General features: G+C 40.6%; 1 protein-coding gene across 2 annotated transcripts, besides 2 other annotated features; it reads right to left on the reverse strand.

Moving 5' to 3' along the window:
• Positions 434–634: a silencer, noted in NCBI's record as "peak469 fragment used in MPRA reporter construct". NCBI's record gives its function as "represses an SCP1 promoter by STARR-seq MPRAs in K562 erythroleukemia cells {active_cell/tissue: K562}" and the evidence as "EXISTENCE:reporter gene assay evidence [ECO:0000049][PMID:32103011]".
• On the reverse strand, positions 733–11,200 carry MRPS14 (mitochondrial ribosomal protein S14). 2 transcript variants are annotated; one of them, NR_037606.2, is made up of 3 exons: positions 11,047–11,200; positions 6,193–6,351; positions 733–2,626 (listed from the first exon to the last, which is right to left on the reverse strand). NR_037606.2 is itself a non-coding variant. In NM_022100.3 (3 exons), the coding sequence occupies exons 1-3, from the start codon at positions 11,181–11,183 to the stop codon at positions 2,444–2,446; spliced, it is 387 nt and encodes a 128-aa protein (NP_071383.1). In that variant the 5' UTR covers positions 11,184–11,200; the 3' UTR covers positions 733–2,443. The 2 variants fall into 2 exon arrangements, 1 of the variants encoding a protein (NP_071383.1); NM_022100.3 differs by having other exon boundaries at positions 11,139–11,200.
• Positions 10,931–11,180: an enhancer, noted in NCBI's record as "active region_2128". NCBI's record gives its function as "activates an Ori minimal core promoter by ATAC-STARR-seq in GM12878 lymphoblastoid cells {active_cell/tissue: GM12878}" and the evidence as "EXISTENCE:reporter gene assay evidence [ECO:0000049][PMID:35858748]".

The raw sequence follows: 23,649 nt of genomic DNA on the forward strand, positions 1-23,649 counted from the left end.
ACATTTAGAAAAATTTGGAATGCTATATGCAAAAGATTAAAAATACTCGTGTCTATTTAACAGGAATGTATTATGGTGCATCCACATGAGGGAGTACTTAAGTCACAAAACAATGAAGAGTTCTATATAACGTAAAATGGTCTCCAGGATAGAGTAAGTGGAAAAGCAAAGTGCAGAACATTTATGGTATACCCACTACATTTGTGTAAGAAAGGGTGAGAAATGTGAATGTATGCACATAGGTGTATTTGCTTATGTTTCAAAAAGAAACGAGTAAACCCAAAGCTAATAAAAATTGTTAGCAGGGGAAGGAAGGAGATGAGGATGGAAGCTATTCTGTGAATTTAACTTTTTCTAGAGTTTTGACTTTAGAACCATCTAAAATTTAACATGACTGAAAAAGTAAAACATGACCCTAAACCTATCAACACATTGTCTTAGTCTATTCCTGCTGCTGTAACAAAATGCCATAGACTAAGAATTTATAAATAATATTTACTTCTTGCACTTCTGGAGGCTGGAGAAGTCTAAGATTTGGCACCAGCAGATTGGTGTTTGGTAAGGGCTTGCTTTCTGCTTCCAGTACGGTGCCTTCTCGCAGTATCAGAAGGGTAAAAGGGACAAACTCTCTCCCTCAAGCCCTCTTAGAAAGGCACTGATCCCATCCATGAGTGTGGAGCCCTCCTGGCCTAATCACCCCTAAGGGCCCCACCTCTTAATAATACCAACGCATTGTGGATTAGATTTTAATGTGAATTTTGGAAGTACACAAAATGTTCAAACTATAGCATGTATATATATCAAGTTGGCAGTATAAACTACTTGCAAGTAACTTTAGAACACAAGTGTTTGCCCATTGGTAGTGAGATGGATTCTAAGTTGAGATATTAGCTAGAACATTCCAGTTGGTAAGTTGTCATACATATTTAAGAAATATGAATCCAAACTAGATTGTGATAATTCCCTCATAACTTCACCTCCACCTGAGTTTCGGACTCTGCTATCCAGCTGCGTACTAGTCTTCATCAGATGACACAGGCATCTCCAACACCGCATGACTGGAACCTGAACTCGCTTATCTTCTGTTTCCCCTAAATTTGTTCTTTTTCCAAATTTTCTATCTTGGAGTTGCCCTCTTGGAATTGCCCTCTACCATCTATCTAGACACTTTTATCAGGAACCCAGAGAACCATCTTTACCTCTTAGATATAATCAGTCTTGTAAGTCTTGCCCAATTTTCTTTCCTAAAACTTTAAAAATCTGTCCTCTCTCCTCTACTAATACCACAATGTTAGTTCAGGCCTTCATCTTCCTCAACAACTAAGACATCCTCCTAACTGGTTGTCTTGCCTGTAGCTTTTTCCTCTCATGGCCATCTGCCACACAGCTGTCACTTACCTGTATTACAAACTGATGATGTCATTCCTGTGCTTAAAACTCTGTAATACCTGGTATGTCAGTCTTAATTCCTTCACATGATTTGTGAGATCCTCCACAATACGGGCCTTGTCTTGTGCTTCATATTTCTGATCTACTGAAGTGACTGTGGTTCTCTGATGCTACAGAGTGCCTTTGCTTCTTTGTGCTTTTGTTCCCTCTGTGTGCAGAAAAAAATCTCACCCCTCACCTCCTGATTTATTAAGTTCTCCAGGAATATTTTCCTGATGTTAAGTAGGTACTTCCATTCAGTATGTATATTTTTATCACTGGGCTGATGATCACACTGTTGAGTTACTGAATGAGAACTTTGTGCTACCCTTACTCATTTCTGTTATGGATTAAATAAACATAAAAATAGGGAATATATACTGTTCCAACAAACTTTTCCTCTTTAGATGGAGACTTTCAAGGACTTAAAGAGGCATAATTTGTTTTAAAGTCCCTTAAGGATGGACAAGAAAACACTTAGTGGTTCTTTTGTTCAGCCATCACAAGAAGAAGTGGAGCATTAGATAATCCAGAACAGCAGCCTTGCTATCCAATCTGTTTATCTAACAATAATAGTTAAGGGGAGCTCTGCAGGTCAGCAAAGCTAGTCCAGGATTACAAACTGCCATACATGAGCTACATGTCAATTAGTTGGATTATGTATAAGATAGCATTTTATGAAATAATGCTCTTAATACAAAAACCCCTATATGTTACTAAAAGATTAAACTTAAAAGGAGGGTATAAAAAACATTCACAGAAAATATTTATTATGCTACTCTTTGTACTATGTATGGGAACAGTATGTTTGTTAAGTCCAAGAGAAAAGATAATTCACTGACATGAAACACCCAAATGTCTTCATTTTAAAAGTAGTTTAGAGATAGCATCAGGTAGGCCAAACAACTGTACTGGGCCCCTGTAGAGATTAGGGTTTGGTCTATTAAAAAAAATCTTTGCTTGCTGGAACTGCAAGCTTGGCTTCCCTGCAAGCTCAATAGGTTCTGGAGCTCATTTACCATGTCGCTCGCTGGATCCCAGAAAGTTGCCCATGGTCAGCTAAGTGACGGAAGACTATACGACTAAGCCTCCAGCGCCGCTTCACACCACGCGGACGGGACGTCATAACACACCGATTTCTGATTCTAACAGGACAGCTATCCCGGGGGAGGGCAGCAATTTCTTCATCAGCCACATCCTAAGGGAAATCACATTATTACACAGATCACATTACATTGTTGCACATGTATTTTGCTCCTTCTCACTTGCAGGTAATTTTCTTTTCTTTTTTTTTTTTTTTTGAGACAGAGTCTCGCTCTGTCACCCAGGCTGTGGGTGTTAGATTGTGCAATGTCACAATCTCAGCTCACTGCAACCTCCGCCTCCTGGGTTCAAGTGATTCTCCTGCCTCAGCCTCCCGAGTAGCTGAGATTACAGGTGTGCACTACCACACTCAGCTAATTTTTTGTATTATTAGTAGAAACGGGGTTTCACCACGTTGCCCAGGCTGGTCTCAAACTCCTGAGCTCTGGCAATCCGCCCATCTCTGCCTCCCAAAGTGCTAGGATTACAGGTGTGAGCCACAGCGCCTGGCCACTGGCAGGTAATGTTCATTGCATGAGTACCATAATTCATTTATCCATCCTACATTTGATGGTCATCTTACGATTTGGGCGAATATAAATAGTGCAGCTACATACTCTTGTTTAACTCATTTGTAAAGTATGTGAATGTATTTCTGTTGCCGCCTCATGTTTTTTGAATCACGAAAGTGAAACCTCTGGAATGATGATCAAATAGGAGGGAATGTGGCTTGAGATAAGACTAGAGAAGGAGGAAGGAGAGTATCACATGGAGCCCTGATGTCTATGGTAAAGATTCTGACAGCTAGAGAAGTAAAGGGGAGAGATCAGATGAGGTTTATATTTAAAAAAAATCATTTGCAAGGTAGAGGATGAATCAGGTAAGGGCAAAGTGGTTGAGGGGAGAAAAGTAGGGATTACAGCAGTAGCTAGGGCTCAGGTTTTGTCAGTAGAGATTTCTTCTTATGTATGTGTTCAAGAGTGTGAGTGTTCATAATATTCACTTTAATCTGATAAGTGTGCTAACAAGTAGATGGACCCTGTGCTAGACTGCGGTGCAAGCAAAATAACACATTAAAATAACACAAATTAAATGAAAGTATATAAAAGCCAAAAATTAACAAAAGCTTATGCATGTGTTACCATTATGAACTAACAGAATTACATAAAACAACATGATTGCCAGGCACAGTGGCTCACGCCTATAATCCCAGCACTTTGGGACGCCGAGGCAGGCGGATCATCTGAGGTCAAGAGTTCGCGACCAGCCTGACCAACATAGGGAAACCCCATCTCTACTAAAAATACAAAATTAGCTGGGTGTGGTGGCACATGCCTGTAATCCCATCTGGCCGGGAGGCTAAGGCAGCAGAATCGCTTGAACCCAGGAGGCAGATGTGGTGAGCCCAGATTGTGCCACTGCACTCCAGCCTGGGCAACAAGAGCAAAACCCCATCTCAAAAAAAAAAAAACAAAAAAAAACCATGATTGAGCCATTGAGTAGTAAACAATAAATGCTATACAAGGAACTGGAGAGGAGAAATGACTGGGCAAGAAGATTGAAGCCAAGTTTCATGGAGGTGGACCTTAAAGAATGGCTAGAAATTATGGATTGATTGATTGATACATACCCCTTCCTTCTTGTTCCCCGAAAGATTTAAGGCAGTTTACAAATGAGGAAACTGGGGCAAAGAGAAATGAGAGTAGGAAAGATAAAAGCCTCAGGACACAAAAGTGCATGCTGTGAAATTAGAACTGGGACATAAATTTGACTTGTAAGCTACTTGGCAGGCAGCAGAGAACCATGATCAGTTTACATGATTCACAGACTCTGCACAGTTATTGCTGCTAGTCATACCAGAGACATGTCTTCTGGGTATCTTCATAAAGGTACTCAAACAACACACCCCCAGCTGTATTAATGTATAGTTGACAAATAAAAATTGCATATATTTAAGGCATACAATGTCATGATTTGCTAAACATATACATTGTGAAATGATTACCACAATGAAGTTAATGAATGCATCCTTCACCTCACAAAATTACCGTTTGTGTATGTGTGGTAAGAACACTTCAGATCTACTCTCTTACCAATTTCAAGTACACAATACAGTACTATTGACTATAGTTACGGTGTTGTGCGTTAGCTCCACAGAATTTATTCATCTTACAACAGGAAGTATACCCTTTGACCAGTATCTCCTGATTTCCCCCTGCCCGCCATACCCCCTAGTCCTCCTAGCTCCAAGCAACCATCATCCTGCTTCCCTGCCTCTATGATCAATGTCTTGAGCTCAGTTTCTTGGGGGCCCCCTGCCCTTTTTTTTTTGTTTTGAGACACAGTCTTGCTCTGTCACCTAGGCTGGAGCGTACTGGCGTGATCTCGGTTCACTGTAACCTCTGCCTCCCGAGTTCAAGCAATTCTCCTGCCTCAGCCTCCCGAGTAGCTGGGATTACAGGGTGTGCCACTTGCACCCATCTAAGTTTTGTATTTTTAGTAGAGATGGGGTTTGGCCAGGTTGGTCTTGAACTCCTGACCTCAGGTGATCTGCCTGCCTCGGCCTCCCAAAGTGCTGGGATTACAGGCGTGAGCCACTGTGCCTGGCCTGCCACTTCTTATTACTCCCTAAATGTAGGAAAGTAGCTTAATGCCACTTTAGTGTAAGCCATAACCCAGTGGTCCAAGGCTCTCAGTTTTCTGCTCATCTGGCTTAATCCAGACAAGACTAAAAAGAAACCATAGTAATAAATAGGATGTATATCATTCTGCCAACTTCTCTAAATGTAGTTTTTTAAAAATCTGAGTTCTCAATAACTTGAGAGGCCTTGAGTTTAATTTATATCTCCCTGATGAGCCTTTTGAACGCAGATATGCTACATCACCACTTAGGTGCAGGACTTTATGCTTCAGAAAGCCAAGCAGGGTGACAAGGAAGTAAGCCTTAATGGAAAGGCACTTCAGCACACAGAGGGTGGGCAAGGGAGTTCAGGAAGACAGGCTCAGAATGGTGCTAGGTAAGGAACAGTTTAGGCCGCGTACCAGGCACACAGACTTCAACATCAGCAATGCCTCCCAATGCCTTGCCAGTTAAAAGATTGGGATGCGGCTGGACACAGTGGCTCACACCTGTAATCCCAGCACTTTGGGAGGCCCAGATGGGTGGATCACAAGATCAGGAGTTCGAGACCAGCCCAGCCAACATGGTGAAACCCTGTCTCTACTAAAAATACAAAAATTAGCCAGGCATGGTGGCATGTGCCTGTAATCCCAGTTACTCAGGAGACTGAGGCAGGAGAATTGCTTTAACCTGGGAGGCGGAGGTTGTGGTGAGCCGAGACTGAGCCATTGCACTCCAGCCTGGGGAACAGAGCGAGACTCCATCTCAAAAAAAAAAAAATTGGGATGAAGTCAGGGAGAGACCTTAGGTGAAAATAACCACCCAATTTACCAGTACTTTCTAAGGCTGGCATAATGAAACAGTTGTAAGGCTAGTTAGGAGTGAATAGTCTTTAATTTGAAACTCAACAAAATCAGTTTCAAGACTATTTGTTTATATTGATGTGGATCTTATTCTCCAGAAATTATATTGATACCAAGTCACAACAAACAGTATCAAAAGTGATCTGATGTTGAGTTAATGATCTTGTGGTACAAAGGGACTCATCTTAATTAGCTAACCTGAAGAATTTTTGGCAAAATGGTATTCTTCCTGAGTGAATTAATACGTAGCCTCTCATCTGCGTATTCATAGGCCATTTTTCGTCTCTTCACATCGCGCCACATTCTCCAGTCTACATAGTGACTTCGAACTTGGCCTGAAGCTGATGAAGGAACCATCTGAAAGACAGAGACAAGGGACAAGTGAAGGATAGCCAGGACAACATTCTGAGTGTTCCTCAACCCTGCAATTCTCTTTCTGCCACTATTTATCATTTAGTATTCTTTTAAGAGTTGTTTTAGATCAGTTTAATAGTTTAAGATAATAGACTTCCTAATTTATTCAGAATAAATAACTTTTATGGATGTATATTAAGTCAAAATCATAATAATATAATGCAATAACATATGTATTGGAAGGTGAAAGACAGATTTTCAGAAATTTTTATTATTCTGTTTGACCTGTACTTAGGCCAATAGTCACATGGTTCAAAAATCAAAAAGGTATAAGAAGACACACAGTGAAAAGTCTCCCCCCACCTCATTCCTCACCTGCCCAATGACTCCCTTGCCCCACAGGTATCCACTGTTTCTAGTTTCTTGTATATCCTTCAGAGATTTTTGTCTGTATACACTCCCCTCCCATTTTTCGTTCCCTCTTTTCAGTTTACAATATACCTTAGAGATCTTTCAATAACTGAATGTAAAAAGCTTCCCCATTTTCTTCATATTGCATAATCTGCTATATAGAAGCATCATAATTTAACCTGCCACGTATTGCTGGACAGATCTCACTATTTATTATTATAAACAATGCTGCAGTGAATAATGTCTTGGAAATCATTTCATATGTATTCCTATATATCTTGAAGATATATTATTATTTATTTATTTTACTTTTTTGAGATGGAATCTAGCTCTGTCACCCAGGGTGGAGTGCAGTGGCGCAATCTTGGCTCACTGCAACCTATACCTCCCGGGTTCAAGCAATTCTCATGCCTCAGCCTCCTGAGTAGCTCAGACTACAGGTGCCCGCCACCACACCTGGCTGTTTTTTTTGTTTTGTTTTTTGTATTTTTAGTAGAGATGGGGTTTCACCATGTTGGCCACGCTGGTCTTGAACTCCTGACCTCAAGTGATCCATCCGTCTTGGCCTCCCAAAGTGCTGAGATTATAGGCATGAGCCACTGTGCCTGATGAGGATAGATTATTGGGAGCAAAACTGCTAGGTCAAAGGGTACTTTAAAACTATCACTGACCTAAGACTTCTCAGCACTAGTTGTCCAGTAATAAGACAGTATATTCCTTGTTGTCTCACATTTTCACGGTGATAATTTACAGTTCTGACTGACAGGACAGGCAAAGGGAGTATAGATCACAAGAAACGATAAGTCTCTCTCAAACCAGAGGAAATATTACATGTTAATTAAGCTGCCCCTATAGAAAAATGATGGCTTCTGATAACTGATGTTTATAAATGAAATATATGTATAGCAGAATATAAAATTGAAAATAAGAATACTATAAATAGAAAGCCACCATTTTTTCAATCTATTAACAAAAGATAAACTGAACATCTTCAGTGCTCACATTACTAAACAAAAGTTCCTTGGGGAAATATAACAATTCTGCAATCACCTTTTGAAAAAAAGATAAGCAGGAATAGAATTTAAATATTGATGTGGCATATGACTGAGTCCAGTGAATGCCTTGGTAACCATGGATGGACATGCTTGTCACAGAAAGAGGGGCTTTGAAATCTTGACAGCAATTCAACATTGAAATGCTGACAGAATTTTGACTAAAGTGGGGACAGGGGAGGGGAGAAAAGGTAGTCTGTCCAAACAAAACATGGAAAAGAACAAGATATATTCATAAGATCAAGGAGAAATCAAAGAAACCGTTCACATTGAGGGGCAATGTGAGGTTTGCTTTTACCTGTGAAATTGAGGGTACAGGAGATTTAGAAAACAAGATTAAGCATTTCTTCTTTGAATTCTTTTTCAAAGTATTCCTAATCAAATTCTCCTAGAAGACTTCTATTAGTTTTTAAAAATAGTCTTTCACTCTATTTTGCATACCTTTTTTTCTTACTAGAAAAGTAATATCCATTTTTTCCCCCTTTTTTTGAGACGGAGTTTTGCTCTTGTTGCCCAGGCTGGAGTGCAATGACGCGATCGTGGCTCACCGCAACCTTTGCCTCCCAGGTTCAAGCGATTCTCCTGCCTCAGCCTCCCGAGTAGCTGGGATTACAGGCATGTGCCACAACACCCGGCTAATTTTGTTATTTTTAGTAGAGATGTGGTTTCTCCATGTTGGTCAGGCTGGTCTTGAAATCCCAAAGTAATACACTTTTAAAATAAAATATTTATTGGCCTATTATATTATTTCTTCTGTGAACATTTTTATGTGCTTTGTCTGCATTTCTACTGTGGTGTATTTCCTTACCAGCTTATAATGGTGCTTTATAGATTAAGGCCACACTCTATTCTGCTCTGTACACATCTTATCCTGCCCCCATCTCTCACCCCTCTTCAGCTCCTAAAACCTTTCCACTGGGCCCTCTCAATCCATGGTCTATCATCAAAATCTTTTAAATTCTCAATTTCTCTTGACATCTCCTTCACCTTTTGCTCTGGCCGAATTTTAAATCCCTCCTCACAGCTTTTCCTGTAGCTCCTTTTTCTTCCATAACTGGGCCTAGAGGTGGGATAGGTAAGTGTCTTCCTTGCTCTTCATTGCAGCTTCGAGTTCTCCTTCCTTCCTGAAAGCTCCTGGCTTTGACTCATGCCATTGGGCTTACTACCTTCCACTCCCTCTCATTGTTGCAGTCATCTACCAAAGCCCCTGCCACTCCCTTTCATTTTTCCACGATTTTGGATCCTGGCTTATTGTCACTCTCTCCAATATTGTTCCTATCTTAATTCCTGGTTATTTCAATATACATGAAATTACACCCTGATCACTCTGATTTCTTAACACCTCTCCTTCAATGACTTTTGTCCTCCACTCTTGTTTAACTATTCAATTCCATGCCCATGTTGTGGGTATTTTATTATTAATAAGTGCAAGCTATTATCTCACTTTGTATATCTCAACTCATTATCACTTCTTTCTAGCTTGCTCCTTCTAACACCCCAATAACAATCCTTCTGGGACTTTCAATCCATTGATCCTACCATTTTTCACTTTTTTCACTCAGCTTTTGATTTACTGTCTTCCTCTCTCACCTAGCCTGAATTCCATTGTTCTATAAATACAACGTTCTCTTGAATACACCATCAACTCTCTGGCCCCTCTCTCACTTCTCTGTACTTACTCCAATTCTCCTGACCATTCCTTCTGTCCATTTCCAACTCTCTTACAGGGTCTTTCTCCCCTTAAATCTCTGACACTTGCTCCCACATCCTCACACTCAGCTGATGACTTCACTTTCTCCTTAATTATAAAATTAGAAGAAATCAAAAGAGCATTTCTATAAATGCTCACCAACATAGTGGCTCACTTACTAGCATCTGTATCATATGTTCTACATTCCCTCCTGTTATCAGAGATCCACTCTGTCCAACAGAGTAACCACTAACCACATAGGGGTATTAAACATTTGTAATATAACTAGTGCAACTGGGGAATGTAATTCTTTATTTTAATTAAAATTCAAAACCAAAGCATTGTAAACATTAAACAACTTTATTATTTTGGTAGAACTATATTTCCCATTTTAATGATGGGAAATTTAGCACCCAAACTGAGATATGCTTTAAGTGTTTGAAAATCTAGTATGAAAAAAAAGAATGTAACTATTTCATAAGTCATTGTTATATTGATTCTATGTTAAAACCACAGTATTTTGGATATACCTGGTTAAATAAAATATTATATTAAACTTAATTTCATCTATTTCTTATTTTTTAAATGTGGCTACTAGAAAAATTTTAAATTACACATGTGGTTCACATTATATTTCTATGAACAACACTGCTACAGATTAACTGTCCAGGTTCCTAAGACCAAACTTCATGCACAAGACCCCATAGCCTCTCTCTCTTTTTTTTTTTTTTTTTTAAATGTTTTTGGTTTTTTTAGGGCTAGTCAAGTGAAAAAGTGGGAGTGGAGAAGGAACAAATAAATCTGTAACTGGTTGTGATCAATTAGTTGTAAACACCACTGCACTCGAACCAGCCTCCATTGCCTCTTGCCTACATAAAGGTACAGCTCTAGCAATTCTTCCCTCTTCTACATCATCAATTTTTACTACAGGATCTTTCCCTTTCATACACAAACATGCTGTTTTCCCTGCCATGTTAAAAGAAAACAACCCCCCTCCCCGCCCCCGTTATTGACCCATTTTTTTTGCTCTCCTTTACAGCAAAGCTCCTTTAAAGGCTTATCTATACTCCACTTTATTTCCTCCTATTCTCTTGAACGCTTTCGTCCCCATAACACCATCAGAACAGCTGTGATTAAGGTCCCAACAACCTTCACACTGCTAAACTCTTCAATTCTCAGCACTTCTTTTTAATTGATTTATCAACTTTGAGCAGAGTTGCCCACTCCTCACACTTTGAAATTCTGTCATCCTTTGCTTCCCGGCCATCCCACTCTCCTAGTTTTCCATCTCCCTAGCTGACAACTCCTTTCAGTCTCCCTTGCACGGTTCTCATCTCTTAACGTTACAAGTCTCTGAGAGCTCAATCCTCGGAACTCGTCTCCTATCTGCTTACTCCCTTACAAATCGGAGTCAATCTCACATCTTCCAATACCAGTTAGTCATATGCTTACGAAAACCAAATTGACATCTGCAGCTCGGACCTCCCCTGAACCAAGCCCAAGCGCGGAAGAGGGCGGAAGGAGAACCCCTGGACTGGTCCTCACCGAGCACTACAGGTGGCAGAGCCGTGGGGGACCCGTGGGTTATGAGATTCAGCGGTGAGGGGTAGCGGTGTGGATAAAAGTAGAGGCCTGACCTGCTTGAACGTCCGCAGCAGCGAGCCCAGCATGAAGGCCGCCATGTTGTCCGCTACAAACTACAAACCGCTGAAACTTTATTGACACTGCCGAATAGCGCAGGACACGAGGGGCGGGGCCTGGGCCGCCTGGGGCGGAGCTGGGAGGTGGGTGGGAATGTGGCCTACAGGAAAGCGGGGTTAGTTTTGGGATCGGAGCTCTCGCGATATTTCACGGAACTTGGGCAAATGACAAATCTGAAGGCGCCGCGTTGATGCTGATGGCGCAGCCAGACCCGCCCCGTGTGTTGCAGCCCGTGTAATACCCTTCTCTCCCTACCCACAGTTGGGGTCATCTTCTATAAGCGGGTCATGAAATAGGCGAGCTAGCTCTGTGCACTCTTTTCTTCCTTTCTGGAAAACTAGTTCTGAAAGCATCTTTTTTGTTGCTGTTGTAGGTTATGATTTAATTCTACCTTATTGGTGTGACCAGGAACAGGGCAAGAGTCCACCTCTACAATCCCATAGGAAGAACAGTCAGGAGAATTATATACATCTACAGCGGGCACAGGACTTAGGCCAGATCTTCCTGGAAAGTGGTCAGAAAGACTTAGACTTAAGCCACGGGAGTTAGGCCAAGCTGATCGTTTGCCCTTTCAAAGATGGCAAAATACTGTTGGATGAAGAGGTAGCCCAGGATCCAGAACTCTTATGGGTGGTGGAGATGTTCATACCCTGGAAGCTGCTAGTGCAGCCCTGCTGGCTTTTTACTGATTTTATGAAGGATATTAAAAAAAGGCTGGGCATGGTGGCTCACACCTGTAATTCCAGCACTTTGGGAGGCTGAGGCAGGTGGATCACTTGAGGTCAGGAGTTCAAGACCAGCCTGACCAATATGGGTGAAACCCAGTCTCTACTGAAAATACAAAAATCAGCCAGGTGCGGTGGCAGGTGCCTGTAATCCCACGTACTCGGGAGGCTGAGGCAGGAGAATTTCTTGAACCCAGGAGGTAGAGGTTGTAGTGAGCCGAGATTGCATCCCTGCACTCCAGCCTTGGCAACACAGCAAGACAAAAAAAAAAAGATACTGAAAAGGATACAGATGAACAGTCGGTTGGAAGAGATGTGTGGGACAAGGCACGGTGGATGGGGCTTGGAGCTTCCATGCCCTTTCCTGGTGGGGCCATCTTCCAGAAACCTCCACATATTCAGCTATCTGGCAACTTGTGAAAGCATCTTTAAACAGCATTAGTAACTTTTTTCTAAAAATTGTGATACAATATACATAACATAAATTTTCCCATCCTCACCATTTTAAGTGTACAGTTCAGGGGCATTAAGTACCTTTACACTGCTGTGCAACTGTCATCATTGCCCATCTCCAGAACTTTGTGTCTTCCAAAACTAAAATACTCTACCATTAAACAATAAGTCCCCATTCCCCCTTCCTTTCAGCTCCTGGCAACCACCATTCTACTTTTTGTCCCTATGAATTCAACTACTCTACGTAGCTCATCTAAGTGGAATCATGCAGTGTTTTGTCTTTGTGACTGGCTTCTTTCACTTATAACATCCTCAGGGTTTATCCATGCTGCACCATGTCTCAGCACTTCGTTCTTTTTTATGGCTCAGTAATATTCCATTGTTTGGCTACACTACATTTTGTTTCTCTATTTATCTGTCATTAACACTTGCTTTGCTTACACCTTTTAGCTGTTGTGAATAATGCTATGAACATGTGTGTACAAATATCTTAAACAGCATTAGGATCTTGTTAGGCCATTTTTTGCTTTAAGAAGAGAGTAAAGCAACCTAATGGTGTGAGTGAGGCAGGAAACTCTGAAGTACTGAGACAAGACTCCAGGGTCTTCTTTAATTAATTGTATTGGTTTTTTAAAACAGCCTAAGATTTCCCCCCAGACCCCCAGTGTGCACTCCCCCCTTAGTGTGTGGGCCACTTGGCAGGGCCTAAAGAAGTCTCGGTTTACCTTGAATTTTCCCAAGGAGTCTCTAATTCTCTGGCTACTTAACAGAATGTGGGAAAGGCTGTTGTCTTTACTGTCCTGGAATATTAGAATCAGGAGAACCATCATAATTCATTTAATCATTCAGAAAATATTTACTAAATGCCTGTTATATATGAATGTGTAAGTATGTGTCAGATCGGAGACTGAAAAAAAATCCCAGCCCTTCTGATACTTGTAATTCCACTGGGGATTATAGATTTAGACAGAAGTGGAGCTATCTACCAAGGATGGTTATATTACCTTTGCTTTTTCCTTATATTCTTTCCTTTGAAGGCTTAAAAATACTTTTTGGGTGGATAAAATAAAATTTAAGAGTTAATTATTTTTAAATTTGATTGTGAGAGATGGTTATGTTGCTATATTTATTCTGGGCCTGATTAAATTATAAGAATCATTGTATAGATAATGAAATTGAGGCATAGAGAGGCCAAGCCAGCTGAGCTAAGAACGTTAAGACAGATGCTTTTTTTTTTTTTTTTTTTTTTTGAGATGGAGTCTGGCTCTGTTGCCCAGGCTGGAATGCAGTGGTGCAATCTCGGCTCACTGCAAGCTCGGCCTCCCGGGTTCACGCCATTCTCCTGCCTCAGCCTCCTGAGTAACTGGGACTACAGGCGCCCGCCACCATGCCCAGCTAATTTTTTTGTAGTTTTTAGTAGAGACGGGGTTTCACCATTTTAGCCAGGATGGTCTTGATCTCCTGACCTCGTGATCTGCCTGCCTTGGTCTATATTAAGGCAGATGCTCTTAATCCTCTCTCCATGTTGTCCTCTGGAGGAGCGATGGCTCAGGATAAAGGCCTGACTGTTGTCACAGAATTCTTACTTATAAAATGTATCAATTGATTAATGTATGGATTTCATGCCATTTTAGTCAATACTTCAATATATATAATACTCCTATATATTATATAAATATATATTTATAATAAATGTATATATTTAGGTTATATAGGTTAAATATAAATATATATTATGTATTTATAAATATATAAATATATAAATACATAATATATACTGTAATATAGAAATATGTGTTTATATAATATATTAATATATATTAATAAACATTTTATAAATATATAGTATATAATATATGTTACTCTAAATATACTATATATTAAATATATTTATTACATATAATCTATTAATATATCTATATAAATATATGTATATATTATATTCATAAATATATATTAAATGTATATCCTTATCTATATTTAATAAGGATATATATTTACCCAGTTGTGCCACTTTGAGGAATTTTTCCAAGGAAATACTGAAATAGATAAATATATATCTATTTTAATCTATATATATTCTTATATATTTATTATATATTCATATTAAATATATATTATATATTCACATTCAATATCTATATATTTATTATATATTCATATTCAATATTTATATATTTATTATATATTCGTATTCAATATTTATGTATTTATTATATATTCATATTAAATATTTATATATTTATTATATATTTGTATTAAATACTTATATATTATATATTCATATTAAATATTTATATATTATATATTCATATTAAATATATATTTATTGTATATTCATATTAGATATTTATATATTATATACATATTAGATATTTATATATTTATTATATATTCATATTAGATATTTATATATTTATTATATATTCATATTAGATATTTAAATATTTATTATATATTCATATTAGATATTTATATATTATATATTCACATTATTTATATATTTAATATATCTTTATATTGAATATTTATATATTTAATATATATTGAATATTTATATTGAATATATATTGAATATTTATATTTAATATATATATTGAATATATATATTCTATATATATTGAATATATATTTAATATATATTTATATTGAATATTTATATATTTAATATATATTTATATTGAATATTTATATATTTATTAAATATATATAAGATGAGTGGATGGAAGAGAGGTAGAAACTCCCTTATAGAAAACCATGAATTTTATTTTATTTTTTGAGACAGGGTCTGGCTCTGTCACCGAGGCTGAATTTAATGGCTGGTTCACAGCTCACTGCACCCTCAACCTCCCAGGTGCAAGCAATCCTCCCATCTCAGCCTCCAGAGTAGCTGGGACTACAGGTTGGCGCCACCACACCCAGCTAATTTTTTGTATTTTTTTTGTAGAGATGGGGTCTCATCTTGCCATATTGCTCAGGCTGGTCTTAAACTCCTTGAGCTCAAGAGATCCTCCTGCCTCGGCCTCCCAAATTGCTGGGATTACAGGTGTGACCCACCACACCCCATGACATTTTTGAAAACAAAAAAGTACTGAATAGTCTTACCCTACCAGATATTAATATACCATACATTATAGAGCCGTAGTTATTGAGCTTATGTGGTACTGGCGCCAAAATCAACAGACAGTTACGTGAAATAGAATAGATAGGCCTGATAGAAACTCCAGTGCAATTAGAATTTGGTTATGTATTAAAGGAAGCATAAAAATTGTTAAACAACTAGTGCTAGAACAACTGGGTAAAGATTTGGGAAAAATTATATCTTCATCTCTTACCACATATCAAATTTTAGATAAAAAGGTAAATACTAACAAAGGCTTAAAAAACAGAAGAAAATAAAAATGAATATATTTTTAATTTTTATTGTTTTATTTTATTTTTATTTTTTGAGATGGGGTCTCACTCTGTCACCCATGGTGGAGTACAGTGGTGCGATCTCAGCTCACCTCAGTCTGCTTCATGGGCTCCAGGTGATTCCACCTCAGCCTCCTAAGTAGCTAGGACTACAGGTGTGGGCTACCACACCTGGGTAATTTTTGTATTTTTTGTAGTGACGGGGTTTCACCGTGTTGCCCAGGCTGGTCTTGAACTCCTGAGCTCAAGCATTTCACCTGCCTTGGCCTCCCAAAGTGCTGGGATTACAGATGTGAGTCACCATGCCTAGCTGAATATATTTTTTACACTTTTAAATCTTAGTAGACAATTTTCAGACTGTCTAATAACATTAGATGTGTTCAACCTCACTAGTTTCCAAGGAAATGCAAATTAAAATAATGAGATCTATTTAAGCTAGCAGATTAGCAAAGGTTAAAAAAAATTCGGCATTGTCAGAGGTGTGAGGAAATAGGTAATTTCATAGTCGAGTGATAAGAATATAAATTGGCATAACTTGTCTGCAAAGCAATTTGGCAAGTCTTTTCAAAGTTTGTAACTATTGATCCAATTATGCCACTTTGAGGAATTTATTCCAAGGAAATACTGAGAAACTCTAAATTTTATATAAAAGGACATTTATCATTGTCTTATCTATAACAACAAATAAATAACTTAACAGTAAGTGGAGGGTTAAATGAAGAAATCAAGTTATAATCCTAAATTTAAAAATCTGATGGGTTTCTAATTTAAAATATATATATATATATTTACAGATACAGGTGTAGGTATAGAATAGACAGATTAAAAAAGGCTACTCTTAAATATTAAGAGTAGAGATGAGTGAGCAGATTACTGGTTATTCTTATGGTCTTTAAAATTTTCCAATTTCTCTATAATTTATACTATTAGATTCACATATGTGTTGAAGTTGATTTAAAAATATTAACCTGTTCTTGTCTTTTTATATTTATATTATTTCACCCAAAGTATTTGAAAAATCTGTTTTTCAAGGTGCATATAGGAAGGGGTCATTCCTGGTCCCCATCAATATCCTTGGCTTATTCTTGGGGACAGGCACAGGCCGAACCCTGACCAAAGCAGCAAGAAATTAAGAATTCAGGGATGCTTGCTTCGTTCATATTTAGTACCAAGCCATTCACTCTTCCCTTCGTCTTCATTTCTCTGGCTTCTGTGTATGCCATCAAGTAAACTGTCCTTTTGGTGTCTAATCTTTACCTAATACAGGAATGATCATTTCCTTAACTTCTCTGTTTTCTGAGAGGACTAATTAATTATTCCTTTTCATTATTTTATAACTGGCAAGTTACAAAACTAACTTGACTGCAGCTTCTGGTGCCACACAGTAAGAATGTTTACTTGGTGTGTGCTTGTTCTTAGCTGGCCTCAGCTGAGTCACCAGCAACCTTGGGCCTGAACACCTGCCCCAATGCACTCCCCTGGTGCTTCATCATGGGCCTTCCACGTGAGAGCTGGATATGGCTCAAAAGAACCAGATTTCTTGGGCTATGAGAGGGAACTACAAAGAGGAAGAAAGCGATAATAAAGGAAAAGAACCTGTGGAAGGAGAGCGAAAGGCACGGGGACACATGCACCACACACACACACACACACACACACACACACACACACACACACACGCATTTCAACCGTGGCTCTGAAATGGTGTGATGGATAGTGGGTGAAACCTCTGTTCTCATTACACATCTGCCTTCATTAAAGGCTACCAGCGGAATAGCAATCCTATTGGTTTACCGGTTTGGCCTTAGAGTGTGGATGGCCTTAGCACTTCCGGAAGCAGCCACAGGTCCCATGCCTGTGAGCCTTCCCTGGAGCTATGTGCTGTGCACCACGCTGAACACGAGATGGCAGTATTACTACATCTGCGTTCCAACACACAGCCATCCTCGGTTCCCACACACAGGGCCTGATGCAAACTGAACACACACACACCACACACACACCACACACACACACACCACACACACACCACACACACACACACACACACAGCTGTCCCCCAAATAAAATAATGACACTTCGCCTATCGTCAAGTGGGACCTGTGTTTGAGACTGAGTTTGCCGCCTCCGTGGGAGTCAAAGGCAGGACAGGCTATGTGATTTGTAGGGCCCAGTGCAAAAGGAAAATGTAGGGCCTCTTGTTCAAAAAGCAGGGAAAAAAGTGCTGCTAAAGGTAGTAAAATATGAAGCCTCTTCCTTTCTTTCCTGGACTCTGGACTTGTTATGGGATTTTTAAATTTTCTATTAATGTTCTAAGTAAAGAAAAACAAAATCATTAAATGTACTTTTAAATCATTAGCATCAATTTTACCACTCATCGTCATATTGGGGAATGCCAGTTCACCGTGCAAATGTAAGAGCATTTAACTCATAGGCAGAATCAGTGAAATTATACAATTTTTATTTTGTTGCTTGTATATGCCTTTGTGTTTTGTTCTTACCAGAACAGTGAAAATATTGCATAAAACTAACTCAGTTGCTTTTATTTTACTTCTTGATCCACGTGCATTCTACCAGCACCTTCTGACTTTGGCTTACTCATGAGTAAGAGAGGACTGAAAGGAAAAGGAACTATTGTCCTTTTAGAATGTCAACACCTTCATGTATAGGAAGCAAGTTCTAGTGGCCTCTTGGGGTTGCCAGTGCCCCAGCTGACTCAGTCATAGACATAGTACTCTTACCTTGGACTCGCTTTGAGTCCCATTAATCTCCCATACATCATGGGGCCACCAGAATTCCATGTGGATGGGGCATCATACAAAGGGAGCAGCAAGGAACGATGGGCACATGTGTCCCCTCTGCTCATGCAGATGTTCCATTGTCCCACTGGACCTCACTTACAAGACACAAATTCAAAAACATAATGATTCAGAATTTCAAGATAGTGACAGTAGAACATTAAACCAAGCACAGGGCTCTCCTGAAGGCATGGGGATACATGCACAGACACACACAAACACACAAGAACGGCAGGGGCTGTGTGACACATGAGTGACATACCTGCAAAGCCAGCCCAGGTCACAGGCTCTCATGATCTCAGCCACTTGCATTTTCCCAGTCCACACTTATATCTCCAATGAGCCTTTTCGCCCAGGTGCCAGAGCTCCTTCAACTCCACGTGTACCAATCTGAGCTAGTAAGCATCCATTCCTTCAGCAAACATTTATTGAACGTTCCTGTTACATGTCAGATACTGTTCTAGGAGCTGGGGATACAGCAGGATACACAGTCCCTGCCCTCATGGAGCTTACACTGTAGTGGAGAAAGGGGAAGAGCCATTCACAAATCAATAATTATGTGTCAAATGGAGACATGCTATGAAGAGAAAAGCAGAGTAAAAAGAGCATTATGGTAGGAGATACTGTTACCTAATGTGGTCAGAGAAGGGCTCTCTGATGAGCCAGCATTTGAACAGAGACCTTAAGGGTGTGAGGGAGTGAGCTAGGAGGCTCTGGGGGAAGGACATCCAGGCAAAAGGAATGGCAGCTGTGGAGGCTGAGTGGGGTGTGTGCATGGTGTGTCTGAGGGGGAACAGGGAGGCAGCAGCTGGAGCCAAGTGAGTGAGAGGAAGAAGGTAGGTGAGGTGAGAACACTGGGGGCACAGGGGGAGCCCATGTAAGGCCTTGCGTTCCCACATAAACTTCAGTAAAAACTGTCTCCTCCAGATTGCCTCCTTTGTTCTAAAGGCCTTATGTCTTGACGAATGGCCTCACTGGGAATAGGAGTCACCTTTGGCTCCTTTTCTCTCATGTCTTTAGCCAGACCTCTTGCTCCAGCTACTGCCTGGCTGACCACTTCCAAGCAGGCTGCTACCAGCTTAGTCCAGCTGCAGTGACACTCACCTTGGGTTCACATCAGGAACCTCTCATGCCTTGCCCTGGGGCTTCTTTGGTGTTGGTATGGACACCTGAGGAGCCAGGAGCCTGCTCAGCTGTCATGTATGCATAGCTTCAAGTGCAGGGGGAGTGATGCCCATGGGGACACCCTAAACCAATGGAGATGGAAGCCAAGGGATAACACATTTCATAAGGCTCCTTGGAAGGCCTTAGCGAGACATCAAGCTCCAGTCAGCCGCAGCAGTTGCTAACTTAGTAGTCACTTAGTGGCGTCCTTGTTTCTCTTTTTCATTCGTTCTTGTTCCACTGCCCTGATCCCTCACTCTTGCTCCCAAATAAACAAATGGCACACACACCTCTGTCCTGGATTCTTCTTATTTTATTTTATTTATTTATTTATTTTCTGAGATGGAGTCTCGCTGTGTCGTCCAGGCTGGAGTGCAGTGGCACGATCTTGGCTCACTGCAAGCTCCGCCTCCTGGGTTCATACCATTCTCCTGCCTCAGCCTCCCGAGTAGCTGGGACTGCAGGCGCCCGCCACCACGCCCGGCTAATTTTTCGTATTTATAGTAGAGATGGGGTTTCACCGTGTTAGCCAGGATGGTCTCGATCTCCTGACCTCGTGATCTGCCCGCCTTGGCCTCCCAAAGTGCTGGGATTACAGGCGTGAGCCACCGTGCGATTCTTCTTTTGTGGGTGGTGGGAAGAATTCAGGCTCAGATAAAAAATATCCCTTCCCACCGATCATCCAAATCTTGTTGATTCTACTTCAAATTGTTTATTTAATTTTTCCCATTCCTGCTCCCACTCCCCTAGTTCAGACCCTCTTCATCTCTTCTCTGTACTAGGACCAACTGGACTCTTACCTGCTGTTTTGCCTCTCCCTTTTCTTTTTTTTTAAACTTAACCCATCATCTCTCCCACAAAAGCATTCATCCTTTTCTGCTGCCAAAGTGAAGTTTCTAGGACTACAACTACTCATTTCTGGTAGCTACTTATCACCTACAAAATAAAGTTTAAACCCCTTAACATGATGTTATGATTGCTGTCAATGCCTGCAGCACCGTGATTTTCCATCTCTCCCCATAAACACCTCTGACCACCTTGGATTGTTCATCTGTTTCCCCTTCAGTGGTTCTTCCTCTCGAAGCCTTTCTTTCTGCCAGCCTTTCCATTCAGTCCCCTTTAGTTCATCAAATGCTTAATTGAACACAGGCACATACCAGTTCCTGTCACCCAAGGAGGTGAGGAGCAGGTGACAAGATAGGGGAGGTAGTGTTGCAGAATATGTCACATGTCAACACAGTCCCATGTAAATGTTTTAGTTAGCTTGCCTGAGTTTAGGGACCTGAGTGCGCTTTTTCGTCAGGCTGGAATCACTGCAGGGGTTTTGGTAAGGAGAAAGGACATTTTTCTTTTGCAGAACTTGAGATCACGTGGAAAAATATGGCTCTGAGGGGGGGTAAATTTATGGAAAGTCATCTTTACATTAATTATCAAAGCTGATGTCTAAATAAAGACAATGCGATTGACATTTTGCACATTTTAAATTAGTAGTAGTGGATATAGCACTCAATTTTCACTTACTATTCCTGACTTCAAAAAAAGAAGTGTTAAATTTTCTTTCCTGCAATCTCGAGATGCTTGCTTATTTGTTTTGATTTGTTGCAGATAATATGCATGCAGAGAGGTTTTCCTTTTCTGAGTCTCATTTTCCATCCACATATTCAATGTCTTCTTGCCTTGCAGACTTAGGATTGTTGATTTTCCACCCCTCTAGTTCTGCCTGCCGGGCCACTGGCTACAGTGTGCAGGTTGGGATCATAGGACTGTGACTGGCCCAGGGGGCACATGGGCCTGACTCTCAGCCCATGAGGTTTGCCAGGTTGGGCTCCCTGGCTTGTGGCTGCATTACATTTTTATAATTCTGTCATGATTCAGAGATGTTAAGTAAGTTGGTGCTTGAGATAGAAAGGTTTAGGACAATCTTATTTAACCAATGAGGCCCAGCTCAGTGGGTAATTGTCAGCCCTTCTACCCAGCTCCTGGGGTTTATCGCCTCAGGCATGGCCCTGGTATCTGTGTGCAGAAGCACACCTGTCAACTCCTCTTTCCCATCTTAGCAACCTCCTTCCTCTCAGGCCAATTCCCAGTGCTAAGAACCTGGTTACCCTTCCTCCTTGTGTTTCCAGCAGCTACAATAACAAATTGTCACGAAACATTATCCTCTCACATTTCTGGAGGTCAGAAGTCCAAAGCCAGGCTGGCAGCAGGGCTGCGCTCCCTCCAAAGGCTCTAGGGGAGAACGCTGTCTTGCCTCTTCCTCCTCCAGCCTCTGGTGACTGCTGATGTTCCTTTGCTTGTGGCAGCAGCATCCAATCTGTGCTTCTGTCCTCACCCAGCCTGCTTTCCTGTGTGTGACTCTGTGTTCTTTTCTGTCTCTGAATAGAACCTTCTCATTTAGGGCCCATCCTAATCCAGCATGATTGTATTTCAATCTTTACCCTCATCATGTTTTAATGACCTGACTTTCAAATAGGGTCACATTCTAAGGCTGTGAGTGACATGACTTTGGAGTGGACGTCATTCACTCCACCATACTCATCTACTTTATCTTTGTCAAGACTTCAATGCAAACACATCTACTTCTTATACCCCCTGTTTTACCTCCTTTTCCTATTTTCAACTCCCCATTCCTTTTTTCCTCATTTACCCCTTTAAGAATGACTTATAATTTGTGTGCACAAGATTTGACAATTCTGCATTTCTGAAGAGATGTACAAAGGTAAGCACATATTTATTAGAATTTCATATAGAATCAGAGGGAAGTCAGAGTCAGGAAAGGAGGGACTGATCTATTCATATACAATTCTTTTAGTATTATATTTGTATTAATTTCCTCAACCCATTTGAAAGTTCCCTAAGGAAATGTGTGGTTTTCAACTTAATATGCAAGTTCCTAGCAGAGTGTCTGGTATGTAGTAGGTGCTCATAAATTAGAATGAGATGAGTCAACTTCTTACCTTTGGCCGTGTCCTAACCAAACATTGCCAAACTAAATGGGAAAGGACTGGACAGGCACAAAATTCTCTCTTCGTTGCTCATGGACTTGCCCCTCAAGTCCAGCCTCTATGGATACAACCTGCTAGTCTAGTATTGTAGAAGAAAATGCACTTTGATCTCACTTTTCTCCAGCATAGCAAAGACCACACTTAGAGTGATGATGGGGATAACTTTTTCTGTCTTTCAGAGGAGAGGAGCAAAAGTATCCTCAAGAGGACAATAGGGGGCATGAAGGGCTTTCATGAGCCTCTCTAAAACACAGTTGTGGCTGGGCGCGACGGCTTATGCCTGTAATCCCAGCACTATGGGAGACCGAGGCAGGTGGATCACTTGAGGTCAGGAGTACAAGACCAGCTTGGCCAACATGGTGAAACTCTGTCTCTACTAAAAATACAAAAAAAAATTTAGCCGGGTGTTGTGGCACACACCTGTAGTCCCGGCTACTGGAGAGGCTGAGGCAGGAGAATCGCTTGAACCCAGGAGGCAGAGGTTGCAGTGAGCCGAGATTGCGCCACTGCACTCCAGCCTGGGCGACAGAGTGAGACTCTGTCTCAAAAAAATAAATAAATAAAAGTCAATAAAACACAGTTGTAAAGCATATGTCTTGTCCCTCTAATAAGAAAGCCAAGTCCAGAGGCCAGAGGTGAAGCCCGACCTCTGTGTTTCTAACATCAAGGATGCTGCCCTGCCCAGGACCAACACCCAGCAAACTTTGGATGATGTCAATAAGGTGATGTTCACCAACATCTTCAACAGCGGGCTGAAAGCCAAGCAGACATGGTCACTCTGCAGTCCTCTGGAAGGCCCAAGAGAGCCCTTGCCTGCTACCTGAATAGATGAGGACCTCCGGAGCTACCTGGCCTTTGTGGATTCCAGACCTCCTGCATCAGCCGAGC

This window comes from Homo sapiens, chromosome 1 (genome assembly GCF_000001405.40).
Source record: "Homo sapiens chromosome 1, GRCh38.p14 Primary Assembly".
Classification (NCBI taxonomy): domain Eukaryota; kingdom Metazoa; phylum Chordata; class Mammalia; order Primates; family Hominidae; genus Homo; species Homo sapiens.